Below are 15,076 nucleotides of genomic sequence, written 5' to 3'. Positions count from 1 at the left end.
TGCTGTTGTCCCCTCCATTTTGCTGAGAGCCACCGGGTCATGGAAAGGATGCGTGACTCACCTATGTAACTGGTTGGTGAGTGCAGACACAGGGATCTATAGGGGAATCGTATGGTGGTTCTGATCCAAAGCCTGTCTGCCTGAATCCACATCCCAGCTCCACCTCTCATGCGTTAGTGACCCTAGAAAGCTGCTTAAATTCTCTGTGAAAAAAATTAAAAAATAAAGAAATGAGGGGCCGGGCGCAGTGGCTCACACCTGTAATCTCAGCACTTTGGGAGGCTGAGGTGGGCAGATCACCTGAGGTCAGGAGTTTGAGACCAGCCTGACCAACGTGGAGAAACCCCATCTCTACTAAAAATACAAAATTAGCCGGGCGTGGTGGTACATGCCTGTAATCCCAGCTACACGGGAAGCTGAGGCAGGAGAATCGCTTGAACCCAGGAGGTGGAGGTTGCAGTGAGCTGAGATCACACCATTGCACTCCAGCCTGGGCAACAAGAGTGAAACACAGTCTCAAAAAAAAAAAAAGAAAAAAGAAAAAGAAAAAGAAAAAAAAGAAATGAAACAAACAAAAAAAAAAAAAAAAAGAAAAGAAAATCAACAACAACAACAAAATTCTCTGTGACCCAATTTCTCCTTTGTAAAATGGATACAATAGTGCATAGCCCCAATCTTGTATATTTATATCAAATAAATGTAAATATACATCAAATATACAAGATTGGGACTATGTACTATTTGATGTGGGGTTTAAATGACCTCATGTATGTAAAGTACTTAGAGCAAAGCTTGACACATGGGAGTGTCCTCTTAAATGTCAATATTATTTTTATTATGTCTTGTATTGTTAGAAAAAGCAAGCCAGGGCCAGGCGCGGTGGCTCACGCCTGTAATCCCAGCACTTTGTGGGGGCCGAGGCGGGTGGATCACCAGGTCAGGAGATCGAGACCATCCTGGCTAACATGGTGAAACTCCGTCTCTACTAAAAAATACAAAAAATTAGCCGGGCGTAGTGGCGGGCGCCTGTAGTCCCAGCTACTCGGGAGGCTGAGGCAGGAGAATGGCGTGAACCTGGGAGGCAGAGTTTGCGGTGAGCCAAGATCGAGCCACTGCACTCCAGCCTGGGCGACAGAGCGAGACTCCGTCTCAAAAAAAAAAAAAAAAGAAAGAAAGAAAAAGCAAGCCGGGCACAGTGGCTCACGCCTGTAATCCCAGCACTTTGGGAGGTTGAGGTGGGTGGATCACTTGAGGTCAGGAGTCCGAGACCAGCCCAGCCAACATGGTGAAACCTCGTTTCTACTAAAAATATAAAAATTAACTGGGCATGGTGGCGGGCGCCTGTAACCCCAGCTACTCGGGAGGCTGAAGCAGGGGAATTGCTCGAACCCGGGAGGCAGGGGTTGCAGTGAGCCGAGATCGCACCACTATACTCCAGGCTGGGCAACAGATCGAGACTGTGTCTCAAAAAAAAAAAAAAAAAAAAGAAAGAAAGAAAGAAAAAGAAAAAAAAGCAGACAAAATTTATTTATTGACAATTCAAAAATTTGAAAAAGATGAAGCAGAAGCTTGACCTAACCGACGTGTATCAGGACTTAGCTTTCTATCGCATTTTCAGCACATGTGGAAAAATTGAATTTTGATTTGGTCTCAAGTAAAAAGTTATAACATGTACAATATTTTAATTATAAGGATCAACACTGCTACTATTAGGTAATAATATTTTTAAATATTAAGATTTTTTTGTTTTTTTTTGAATTTTTACTTCAATAGCTTTTGGGGTACAAGTGGTTTCTGTTACACGATGAATTATGTAGTAGTAAATTCTGAGACTGTAGTCCACCCATCAGTGTATGTTTTAGAGTATGTTGCATTCAATATGTAGTTTTTTGGTTTTGTTTTTTGTGACAGTCTCACTCTGTTGCCCAGGCTGGAGTGCAGTAGCAAGATCTCGTCTCACTGCAACCTCTGTATCCTGGGTTCAAGTGCTTCTCCTGCCTCAGCCTCCCTAGTAGGTGGAATTACAGGCACGTACCACCATGCCCGGCTAATTTTTATATTTTTAGTAGAGATGAGGTTTTGCCATGTTGGTCAGGCTGGTCTCGAACTTCTGAGCTCAAGCAATCTGCCCGCCTCAGCCTCCCAAAGTGCTGGGATTACAGGCATGAGCCACCACACCTGGCCCCAATGTGTAGTGTTTTTTTGTTTTTGTTCTTGTTTTTTGAGACGGAATTTCACTCTTGTTGCCCAGGCTGGAGTGCAATGGAGCGATCTCTGCTCACCGCAACCTCCACCTCCTGGGTTCAAGCCATTCTCCTGCCTCAACCTCCCGAGTAGCTGGGATTACAGGCATGCACCACCATGCCTGGCTAATTTTGTATTTTTTTAGTACAGACAGGGTTTCTCCATGTTGCTCAGACTGGTCTCGAACTCCTGACCTCAGGTGATCCACCTGCCTCGGCCTCCCAAAGTGCCGGGATTACAGGCATGACCCACCACTCCTGGCCCCAATGTGTAGTTTTTTATCCCCACCTCCCTACCCTCCTCTTTCTGAATCTCTGAAGTCCGTTATGCCACTCTGTATGCCTTTGCGTACCCATAGCTTAGCTCCCACTTATAAGTGAGAACATATGGTTTTTGGTTTTACATTCCTGAGTTACTTTACTTAGAATGATGGCCTCCATCCAAGTTTCTGCAAAAGACATTATTTTATTCTTTTTTATGGCTGAGTCATATTCCATGGTGTTTATATACCACATATTCTGTATCCACTCATTTGTCAATGGGCACTTAGGTGGGTTCATATCTTTTTTTTTTTTTGAGACAGTCTCACTCTGTCACCCAAGCTGGAGTGCAGTGGCGCGATCTCGGCTCACCGCAAGCTCCGCCTCCCAGGTTCACGCCATTCTCCTGGCCCAGCCTCCTGAGTAGCTGGGACTACAGGCACCCACCACTGCGCCCAGCTAATTTTTTTTTTTTTTTTTTTTTTGTATTTTTAGTAGAGACCGGTGTTAGCCAGGATAGTCTCGATCTCCTGACCTCATGATCCACCCGCCTCAGCCTCCCAAAGTGCTGGGATTACAGGCATGAGCCACCATGCTCGGCTGGTTCCATATCTTTCAATTGTGAATTGTGCTGCTATAAACATACATGTGCATGTGTCTTTTTTTTTTTTTTTTGAGGCAGAGTCTCGCTCTGTTGCCCAGGCTGGAATGCAGTGGTGCAATCTCACTGCAACCTCCAACTCGTGGGTTCAAGTGATTCTCCTGCCTCAGCCTCCCAAGTAGCTGGGACTACAGATGTGCACCACCGCATCCAGCTAATTTTTGTATTTTTAGTAGAGATGGGGTTTCACCATGTTGGCCAGGCTGGTCTTGAACGCCTGACCTCGAGTGATCTCCCCTCCTCAGCCTCCCAAAGTGTTGGGATTACAGGCGTGAGCCACTGCACCCAGCCCACAAGTGTCTTTTTCATATAATGGCTGCCTTTCCTTTGGGTAGATACCCAGTAGTGGGATTGCTGGATCGAACGGTAGATCTACTTTTAGTTCTCTGAGGACTCTCCATACTGTTTTCCATAGAGGTTGTACTAATTTACATTCCCACCAGCAGTGTGTGAGTGTTCCATTTGCACCGCATCCACACCAACGTCTATGGTTTTTTTTGAATTTTTATCAATGGCCATTCTTGTGGGAGTAAGATGGTATCTCATTGTGGCTTTCATTTGCGTTTCTTTAATGATTAGTGATGCTGACCATTTTTTTCATATGTTTCTTGGCCACTGGAATATCTTCTTTTGAGAAATGTCTATTCATATCATTGGGATGCTTTTCGGTGGGATTATTCGTTTTCTTGCTGATTTCTTTGAGTTCCTTATAGGTTCTGTATAATCGTCTTTTGTGGATGCCTAGTTTGCAAATATTTGCTCGCATTCAGTGGGTTGTGTGTTTACTCTGATAATTACTTCCTTTGCTGTACAGAAGCTTTTTAATTTACTCAGGTCCCATATATTTGTTTATTTTTGAGACGGAGTCTCACTCCATCACCCAGGCTTCAGTGCAGCAGCACGATCTCGGCTCACTGCAATCTCCGCCTCCCAGACTCAAGCAATTCTCCTGCCTCAGCCTCCTGAGTAGCTGGGATTACAGGCATCCAACACCATACCTGGCCAATTTTTGTATTTTTAATAGAGATGGGGTTTCGTCATGTTGGTCTGGAACTCCTGACCTGAAGATCCGCCCAGCTGGGCCTCCCAGAGTGCCAGGATTACAGGCGTGAGCCATCGTTCCCATATATCCATATGTTTATTTTTGTTTTTGTTGCATTTGCTTTTGGGCTCTTGGTCATGAACTCGTTGCCTAAGCCAACATCTAGAAGAGTTTTTTTGATGTTATCTTCTAGAATTTTTATGGTTTCTGGTCTTATATTTAAGTCTTTGATGCAAATTCACATTGAATTTGTGAGTTGATTTTTGTATAAGGTGAGAAATAAGGATCGAGTTTCATTCTCCTACATGTGGCTTGCCAGTTATCCCAGCACCATTTGTTGAATAAGGTGTCCTTTCCCCCACTTTATGTTTTTGTTTGCTTTGTCGAAGATCACTTGGCTATAAGTATTTGGCTTTATTTCTGGGCTCTCTATTCTGTTCCATTGTTCTACATGCCTAATTTTATACCAGTACCGTGCTGTTTTGGTAACTATAGGCTTGTAGTATAATTTGATTGGGTAATGTGATGCCTCCAGATTTGTTCTTTTTGCTTAGTCTTTGCTTTGGCTATGAGGGCTCTTTTTTGGTTCATATGGATTTTGGGATTGTGGCTGGGCATGGTAGCTCACGTCTGTAATCCCAGCACTTTGGGAGGCCAAGGCGGGTGGATCACCTGAGGTCAGGAGTTTGAGACCAGCCTGGCCAACATGGCGAAACCCCATCTCTACTACAAATACAAAAATTAGCCAGGCATGGTGCATGCGCCTGTAATCCCAGCTACTTGGGAGGCTGAGACAGGAGAATCGCTTGAACTTGGGAAGCAGAGGTTGCAGTGAGCCAAAATTGGCCATTGCACTCCAGCCTGGGCAACAGAGCGAGACTAAGTCTCAAAAAAAAAAAAAAAAGGATTTTAGGATTTTTTGTTCTGTGAAAAATGATAGTATTTTGATGGGAATTACACTGGACTTGTAGATTGCTTTTGGCAGTATGGTCATTTTCACAATATTGATTCTACCCATCCATGAGCATGGGATGTGTTTCCATTTGTTTGTGTCATCTATGATTTCTTTCAGCAGTGTTTTGTAGTTTTCCTTGTAGCAGTCTTTCACCTCCTTGGTTAGGTATATTCCTGAGTATTTTATTTTATTTTTTTGCAGCTGTTGTAAAAGGGGTTGAGTTCTTGATTTGAATCTCAGCTTGGTCATTGTTGGTGTATAGCAGTGCTACTGTTTGTGTACATTGATTTTGTATCCTGAAACTCTACTGAATTCATTCATCAGACCTAGGAGCTTTTTGGATGAGTCTTTAGGGTTTTCTAGGTGTACAATCATATCATCAGTGAACACTAACAGTTTGACTTCCTCTTTACTGGTTTGGATACCCTTCATTTCTTTCTCTTGTCTGATGGCTGTGGCTAGGACTTCCAGTACTATGTTGAATACAAGTGATAAGAGTGGGCATTCTTGTCTTATTGCAGTTCTCAGGGGGAATGCTTTAAACTTTTCCCTGTTCAGTGTAATGTTGGCTGTGGGTTTGTCATAGATGGCTTTTATTACATTGAAGTATGTCTCTTGTATACCGATTTTGTTGAGGGCTTTAATCATAAAGGGATGTGGGATTTTGTGAAATGCTTCTGCATCTCCTATGATTTTTGTTTTTAATTCTGTTTCTGTGATATATCACATTTGTTGACTTGCATATGTTAAGCCATCCCTGCATTCCTAGTATGAAACCCACTTGATCACATCATGGCAAATTTCAAGCTACCAACATGAGGTCAGCGAGCACAGAGTTGGAAGACGGGTACAAAATTAGCTCTCCAGAACCCGTATCAACAGACTCCAACCCATGGCTGCCATTTCTATTAAAGAGACGTCGCTGCAGGTAATCTGTATTTTCTATAACTAGTGACTTTACAGTTAAACATTCCCCCTGCCTCTGCTCTTTTGCAGCCCGATTACTGAGGCTGCAAGAAAGTTCACAAGGGGAACATCCTCCCCCAGAAGGTAAGCATCCTACTTTGCCATGAATCCCTAATGATAGTGTGGACTGCACACTGGCTTGAAGCCAGCCATTGTCCTAAAAACTTTACGTGTCTGATTCATGTGGTGCTCCTTTGGGAATGGAGAGGAGCATGGACTCTCCCAGGTGCCTGAGGCCACGCAGCCAGGAGGGGCAGGATCGGAGTTCAAACTGACACTCTGTGAAAAATGATAGTATTTTGATAGGAATTACACTGGACTTGTAGATTGCTTTTGGCAGTATGGTCATTTTCACAATATTGATTCTACCCATCCATGAGCATGGGATGTGTTTCCATTTGTTTGTGTCATCTATGATTTCTTTCAGCAGTGTTTTGTAGTTTTCCTTGTAGCAGTCTTTCACCTCCTTGGTTAGGTATATTCCTGAGTACTTTATTTTATTTTTTTGCAGCTGTTGTAAAAGGGGTTGAGTTCTTGATTTGAATCTCAGCTTGGTCATTGTTGGTGTATAGCAGTGCTACTGATTTGTGTACATTGATTTTGTATCCTGAAACTCTACTGAATTCATTCATTAGACCTAGGAGCTTTTTGGATGAGTCTAACCATAGGATCCATGTACATAGTCGTCAGATATACCCTAGGTATGCCTAGGATCCAAGTGTCAGAGGCAGAAAATGGGAACAGCCTGAGGCAATTAGCAAATTGAGAGGAAAAATACTTCCCAAAACTACATAGGTTGGGAGTCATGAAGGAATCAGACTTGACCCATGGTGGGAGTACGGAGAACAAGAACAAAGTATCAGATGAATTCTGTATGGAGAAGTTAGATTATATTATGGAGGAGACTATATTTGTTCAGGAGAGGCTATGCTGCGCAAAGAAACCACAAATTGCTATAGCTTAAGACACAAAGGGTTTATATTTTGCTTACCCAAAAAGCGATATGGGTTGAGTGTTCCTCCAGGGCAACTTGGCTCCATGTGGGGACTTAGGCATCCAAGCTGTTTGCGTCTTTTTTTTCCTTTCCTTTTCTTTTTTCTTTTTTTTTTTTGGAGACAGAGTCTAGCCGTGTCACCCAGGCTAGAGTGCAGTGGCATAATCTCAGCTCACTGCAACCTCTGCCTTCCAGGTTCAAGCTATTCTCCTGCCCCAGACTCCTGAATAGCTGGGATTACAGGCAACTGCCACCACACCTGGCTAATTTTTGTATTTTTAGTAGAGACGAGTTTTCACTACATTACCCAGGCTACTCTCGAACTCCTGACCTCAAGTGATCTGCCTGCCTGGGCCTCCCAAAGTGCTGGGATTACAGGTGTGAGCCACCGCGCTGGGCCAAGCTGCTTGCATCTCGTTGCTTCTCCTCTTGGCACAAGGTCTCCTTGTCTGTTCCATGAGAGGAGAGAGCTGGAGTGCCACAGAAGGCCTTTTGTAGCCAGGCCTGGAAGTATTGGGCACCAGCTCCACACACCTCCTGTTGGCCAGGATCAGTCACATGGCCCCAACCTAACTACAGCAGAGGCTGACAAAGATGGTCTTCCTTCCAGTTGTGGAAGATGCAAGTGTGGCTTTTTCACAGGTCAACAGTCAGGTACAGAGTGAAGGTAGGTCCTGAGCACAGCCCTTCATCCACTTCATGCCTCCCTCCCTGTTTTAGTTGTGAAGGCTGCCAGAACAAAGTGCCATACATAGGCTGGCTGGCTTAGCAACAACAGAGATTAATTTCTCAGTTCTGGAGGCTGGAAGCCCAAGATCAGAGTACCAGTAGGGTTGGATTCTGGGGAACCCTCTTCTGGGTTGCAGAGAGCCAACTTCTTGCCACATGGCGGGCTTTAATGTTGTTTTTTGACATCAGCATTCACCATATGCTGGTTATAGACAAGTCTGGAAGGAGAATCTATCTCCAACCTGCAAATGGCTAACTAATGTTGTGGGATGGTAGGCTGGTGATTGTACCACTGCACTCCAGCCTGGTGACAGAGCGACAACCTGTCTCAACAACAACAACAACAAAAAAGAAATGGCAACCCCAAGGTGATGGTATTAAGAGATGGGGCCTTTGGGAGGTGTTGAGACCATGAGGGTGGAGCCCTCTTGATTTGGATTAATCCCTTATAAAAGAAGCCTCAGAGAGCTCACTCCAAGGAATGCGGTGAAGGTTGAAGTGTAGAATTTATGCAAAATGCCAAGATGAGCCTGGCAGGTGACGTTCTCAGCAAACGTGAGCAGAGCTATTATCAGTGTGTGTGTGTGAGAGAGAGAGAGTTGAACATCATCTAATTCATGAGTGTGGATAAAAATAAGAGGGGATGCCAGGCATGATAGCTCAATGCCTGTAATCCCAGCACTTTGGGAGGCTGAGGGGGGTGGATCACTTGAGGTCAGGAGTTCGAGACCAGCCTGGCCAACATGGTAAAACCCCATCAGTACTAAAAATACAAAAATTAGCCGGGCCTGGTGGTGGTGCGTGCCTGTAGTCCCAGATACTCCAGAGGCTGAGCCAGGGGAATTTCTTGAAACTGGGAGGCAGAGGTTGCAGTGAGCTGAGATTGCCCCATTGCACTCCAGCCTGGGCAACAGAGCAATACTCTGTCTCAAATAAATAAATAAATAAATAAATAAATAAATAAATAAATAAATAAATGGGAGACTTTGCCTCCAACCCTGAAGAAAATAAGCGTGCAAAAGATGAGTAGAGGTGGAGGCAGAGATGAAGGAGCTAGAAAAAAGAGGCCAGAAAGTCAGAGAGAGTGAGGTAACATGGGGGTCAGCAGAAGGCAAGGGGAGAGAGGGTCACCTGGAGAAGGAGGTCACCTCAGGAGGAACCGCAGGGCATTGCAGAAGATGAGGCAGAGCAGGGTCTGTGATGTTCTTGGTAGGGTACTTGGACAGTGTCTGAGACCACCTGGATTTCTTGACGTAGATGAAGGCGGTGAGCCTGAACACACCTGGCTGACTGAGATGCTCGAGAATTGGACCAGGACCTCCCTGGAAAAGCAGGAGCAGCCCCATGAGGACCCCGAAAGGAAAGGTACCATGTGTAGTGTGATAAGTGTCATCAACAGTAAGTGCCACCAACCTTCTCCCCCCTCTTGCTCTTCCCCACCCCTGTGGGCCAGTCCTGCAGGGGACATGACCAGATGTCCCACTGGTACAGTTTGGATATTTGTTCCCTTCCACATCTCATGTTGGAATGTAATCCCCCAATGTAAATTAGTTCAACCATTGTAGGAGACAGTGTGGAATTCCTCAAGGATCTAGATCCAGAAATACTATTTGGCCCAGCAATCCCATTACTGGGTATATGCCCAAAGGAATGTAAATCATTCTGTTAGAAAGATACAGGCACATGTATGTTCACTGCAGCACTATTCACAATATCAAAGACATGGAATCAACCCAAATGCCCATCAGTGATAGACTGGATAAAGAAAATGTGGTACATATACACCATGGAATACTATGCAGCCAGAAAAAGGAACAAGATCATGTCCTCTGCAGGGATATGGGTGGAGCTGGAAGTCATTATCCTCAGCAAACTATTGCAGGAACAGAAAACCAAACACCACATGTTCTCACTTATAAGTGGGAGCTGAATGATGAGAACACATGGACGCAGGGAGGGGAACAACACACACTGGGGCCTGTTGGGGGCGGGTGGGGAGAAGAAGAGCACCAGGAAAATTAGCTAATGCATGTGGGGCTTAATACCTATGTGATGGGTTGATAGGTGCAGCAAACCGCCATGGCACATGTTTACCTGTGTAACAAATCTACACGTCCTGCACATGTGTCCCGGAACTTAAAATTAAATTAAATTAAATTAAATTAAAAGAAAAAGAAATGTAATCCCCAGTGTTGGAGGTGGGGCCTGGTGGGAGGTGATTGGATCATGGGGGCGGATCCCTCATGAATGGCTTAGCGTCATCCTCTTGGTGATTAGTAAGTGCTTGCTCTGAGTTCATGTGAGATACGGTTGTTTAGAAGTGTGTGGCACCTTCCCCCTCGCTCTCTTGCTCCTGCTCTCGGCAAGTGATGTGCCTGCTCCCCATTCACTTTCCATCATGATTGGAAGCTTCCTGAGGCCCCACCAGAAGCAGATGCCAGCACCACGCTTCCTGTACAGCATCCAGAACTGTGAGACAATTAAACCTCTTTTCTTTATAAATTATCCAACCTCAGGTACTTCTTTATAGTAATGCAAGAATGGACTGATACGCCCACCCTCTATCCACCCAACCGGCCATCCATCCATCTAGGATGTCTTGAGTCATTAGCATGAAATAATAACTCTCCTACTAGCAGGCTGGGGGTAGGGGTGACAAAGGGGAAATGTCAGACCAAGTGCCTGCCTGGAGGACTCATGGTCTAGAGGACGAGATGGAGAATAGACAGGTAAGCCAACCACAGGCAAGTCCATCCCCGACTGGGCTAATTTCTATGGAGAGGGCTGGGTGCAGTGGCTCACACCTGTAATCCCAGCACTTTGGGAGGCTGAGGCAGGAAGATCACTTGAGCCCAGGAGTTCAAAACCAGCTTGGGCAACATAGCAAGACCCCATCTCTACAAAATTTTTTGTAAAAAATTAGCTGGACATGGTAGTGCGTTCCCATGGTCCCAGCTACTCAGGAGGCTGAGGCAGGAGGATCACTTGAGCCCAAGAGGTCGAGGCTGTAGTGAACTATGATTGTGCCACTGCATTCCAGCCTGGGTGACAGAGCAAGACCCTGTCTCGAAAAAATAATAAATAAGTAAATTATATGGAGAGACAAGGAGAGGCGAGAGCAGGTATCCGGTGAAAAATTCTGAGAGTGAAGTAGCGTGGATGAGGGACAATGAAGACAGTTGGTCGCTGAAGCCACTGCCTTCCTGAGATGACCCAGGTACAGCCAGTCTCACCCCCAGACATCCAACCTCTCACCTCTGTGATGACCCGGTGTCCAGGCACAGACACACCCAGAGTCCTCCTGACCAGCTCATCAGCAGCTCACCAAGGAAAGGAAATCAAGGTGTACTCTCTTCAGACTCTAGATTTCCCTTCCTCCTCCTTTTATTCATGTTACATAAATTCCTGTTTTTATCTCTGTTGGATGAAATCAGTCTATTCTCTGGTTTCCTTTGTCTACAATTTAAAGAGGGAGCCGACTATTAACTTGATGTCTCTGAGCTATTGTTGGCCAAGCTCCCCTTAGATGGGATTAATGAAGAAGCCTCCTTTTCCAAGGTGATAGCTCAGAAGCAACTTGAAGAATGAGTGACAATGAGCCTACCAAGTGGAAATGTGGGGAAAGTCAGCCAGAGTTCATCTACTGACTTCAGTCTGGCAGATGAGAGGCTTGGGTTTACCCCTCCGGTGGGTAATGGAGAGAGATGGAATGTGCCACACGAAGCCTCACTATGACTTTCTATAATGCCTGGCTCCTGTGCTGAAATGAGAACATGCATCCTAGCCGGCCATGGTGGTGCGTGCACCTGTAGTCCCAGCTATTCGGGGAGGCTGAGGTGGGAGGATTCCTTAAGCCCAGGAGTTGGAGGCTGCAGTGAGCTATGAATGCACCACTGCACTCAGAGTGAGACCCCCATCCCTTAAAAAGTTTTCTTTTAAAAAACGTACTTTTTTTTGTTTTGTTTTTTGTTTTTGTTTGTTTGTTTGAGATGGAGTCTCGCTCTGTCACCCAAGCTGGAGTGCGGTGGTGCAATCTTGGCTCACTGCAACCTCTGCCTCCCGGGTTCAAGCGATTCTCCTGCCTCAGCCTCCCGAGTAGCTGGGACCACAGGCATGCACCACCACACCCGGCTAATTTTTGTAATTTTAGTAGAGACAGGGTTTCATCATATTGGCCAGGCTGGTCTTGAACTCCTGACCTTGTGATCCGCCCACCTCAGGCTCCCAAAGTGCTGGGATTACAGATGTGAGCCACTGTGCCCGGCCAATTCTTAACTTACTATAAGATATACTTGAGCCCAGGTATTCAAGACTAGCCTGGAAAACACTGTGAGACCTCATCTTTTTTAAACAAAATTAATAAATAGATAAAACATTTAAAAAAGCCAGGTGTGATGGCTCACGCCTGTAGTCCCAGCTACTCAGGAGGCTGAGGCGGGAGGGTCGCTTGAGGCCAGGAGTTCAAGACCAGCAAGCCTGGGCAACGTAGTGAGACCTCCTCTCTAAAATAAATAAATAAAAATATAAGATAGAATGGCCGGGTGTGGTGGCTCATGGCTTTAATCCCAGCACTTTGAGAGGCCAAGGTGGGCGGATCGCTTGAGGTCAGGAGCTTGAGACCAGCCTGGCCAACATGGCAAACTCTGTCTCTACTAAAAATGCAAAAATACAAAATTCGCCGGGCGTGGTGGCACATGCCTGTAATCCTAGCTACTTGGGAGGCTGAGGCAGGAGAATCGCTTGAACCCGGGAGGCGGAGGTTGCAGTGAGCTGAGATCACGCCATTGCACTCCAGCCTGGGCAACAAGAGTGAAACTCTGTCTCAAAAAAAAAGAAGAAGTATGGAGTCCTCAGGCCACATTTAGTTTTCTTTAACATGTTAAATATTAAAGGGCTATCAAAGCAATGTAGGTGTGATTTGCTTTTCTGCTGCTAAACTCTTGTAGAAGTTAATATTTATTAAGTGCCTACTATTTGCTGGATGTGTTAGGTTTCTTCAGAGAAACAGAGCCAATAAGATATCTATCTATCTATATCTACCTATCTATGTCTCTGTCTGCCCAAATCTATGCATCTATATCTATGTATTTATAGCTATCTATCTCTATCTATCTAACTAGAGATATTTATTTTAACAAATTGGCTCATGGGATTGTGAAGATGACAAGTCCAAAATCCATGGGGCAGGCCAACAGGCGGAAACCGAGACAGGATTTTTTAAAATTTAATTTAATTTAAAGTTTGAGGATACATGTGCAGGACATGCAGGTTTGTTACCCAGGTAAACGTATGCCATGGTGGTTTGCTGCACTTATCAACCCATCACCTAGATATTAAGCCCCACATGCATTAGCTGTTTACCCTGATGTTTTCCCTCCCACCGCCCCCTCAACAGGCCCCAGTGTGTGTTGTTCCCCTCCCTGTGTCCATATATTCTCATCATTCAGCTGCCACTTATAAGTGAGAACATGTGGTGTTTGGTTTTCTGTTCCTGCATTAGTTTGCTGAGGATAATGGCTTCCAGCTCCATCCCTGTCCCTGCAAAGGACATGATCTTGTTCCTTTTTCTGGCTGCATAGTATTCCATGGTGTATATGTGCCACATTTTCCTTATCCAGTCTACCATTGATGGGTATATTTGGTTGATTCCATGTCTTTGCTATTGTGAATAGTGCTGCAATGAGCATACGCATGCATGAGGCAGAATTTGACGCTCCAGTCTGGAGGTAGAATTTCTTCTTCTCTAGAAACTGTTTTGCCCTCAAAGCCTTCAACTGAGTAGATGAGACCCACCCACATTACTGAGAATAATCTTCTTGAAGTCAACTGATTTTAGCTGTCAACCACATCTACAAAATACCTTCACAGCCACATCTAGGCTAGTGTTTGATTAAATAACTGGTTACTGTGGCCCAGCCTAGTTGACATGTTAAACCATCCTCCCAACATCCTAAGTGCTATAGGCAGGCTCTTACTTATTCCTCATAAATCTATAAGGGATAGGTGTTACTCTCTTCCTGGTTTTACAGATGAGAACAGAGATGTTAAGTAACTTGCTCAGGGGCCCGGTGCAGTGGCTCATGTTTGTAATCCTAGCACTTTGGGAGGCCGAAGTGGGTGAATCACCTGAGGTCAGGAGTTCGAGACCAGCCTGACCAACATAGCGAAACCCCGTCTCTACTACAAATACAAAAAAATATTTAGCCGGGCGTAGTGGTGGGTGCCTGTGGTCCTAGCTATTTGGGAGGCTGAGGCAGGAGAATCACTTGAGCGCAGGAGGCGGAGGTTGCAGTGAGCCGAGATTGCACCACTGCACTACAGCCTGGGTGACAGAGCAAGACTGTCTCAAGAAAAAATAAATAAATAAAAGTAACTTGCTCAGGGTCACACAGCTAATGAGTGATGAAGTCAAATTCAAATCAGCATCTAGCTCAAGCACCCACCTCCCTACTAGCTTTGCTCTCTTGCCACTCTGCCCCTGCTGTTCAGAGAAAGGATTGGAGCTGAAAAACCAGGAAGAGGGAAATCAGAGGGGGAGGCAGTGTTGCATCCTGGATGGAAAAGATGCTGCATAAGGTACTGGCAGATGAGATTGGGAGGAGCAGAGACACTGAAGAGGAGGTGGAATTGGCAGGTCTTGGTGATAGTCCAGGGTGAGGGTGAGGAAGAGGCAGGCGTCTGGGATAATGACCTGGTTTATCCCTGACTGACTTGGCAGCCTCTTGGGCTGGGGAAGGGAGCACGGGAAAGTGTGCTGGGCATTTTGGAACAGCTCCTGGAACATTCTGCGTCGTTCTCCCCCATGAACCTAAAGAGAACAAGCTCATTTCCCCAGATACACAGGTGATCATACAGTCATTAAATCGCCATCTTTTCCTTGCCAACTCCCCCAACCCCAATGGCTCAAAGTCATCTCACCTGTGGCTCAATGATAGATGCTGGATCTGACGGCCAGGACCCCCAGGCCCCTGTATGCCAACCTTTCCCAGCTCACCAGATTTGTCAGCTCTGCTGCCCTAACAAAAGTTGAAGTGGGGTGGCTTCAACTATAGGCTTTTATTTCCTCACCGTTTTTTTTTTTTTTTTTGAGATGGGGTTTCACCATGTTGCCCAGGCTGGTCTCGAACCCCTGACCTCAAGTGACCCACCCACCTGGGCCTCCCAGAGTGCTGGAATTACAGATGTGAGTCACTGTGCCCAGCCTTATTTTCTTACAATTCTGCAG

At 45.5% G+C, this 15,076-nt stretch overlaps 1 protein-coding gene across 8 annotated transcripts in view; it reads left to right on the top strand.

Moving 5' to 3' along the window:
* PLA2G4C (phospholipase A2 group IVC) overlaps nucleotides 1-15,076 on the top strand; it is a 62,972-nt gene that overhangs the window by 26,835 nt on the left and 21,061 nt on the right. For 5 of the 8 annotated variants that reach the window (NM_001159322.2, NM_003706.3, NM_001159323.2 and 2 more), the window contains 2 exons: nucleotides 6,159-6,212; nucleotides 9,109-9,216. In NM_001159322.2, coding sequence (NP_001152794.1) covers nucleotides 6,159-6,212; nucleotides 9,109-9,216 — 162 coding nt within the window. Of the gene's footprint in view, nucleotides 1-5,931; nucleotides 6,089-6,158; nucleotides 6,213-9,108; nucleotides 9,217-15,076 lie in introns of those variants that run through there. The other 3 variants (XM_011527431.4, XM_047439584.1, XM_017027414.3) reach the window with 2 other exon arrangements.

This window comes from Homo sapiens, chromosome 19, assembly GCF_000001405.40.
Source record: "Homo sapiens chromosome 19, GRCh38.p14 Primary Assembly".
Taxonomy (NCBI): Eukaryota; Metazoa; Chordata; class Mammalia; order Primates; family Hominidae; genus Homo; species Homo sapiens.
Note: the sequence above shows the minus strand (reverse complement) of the source record. Positions and strands in the feature narration are given on the sequence as shown.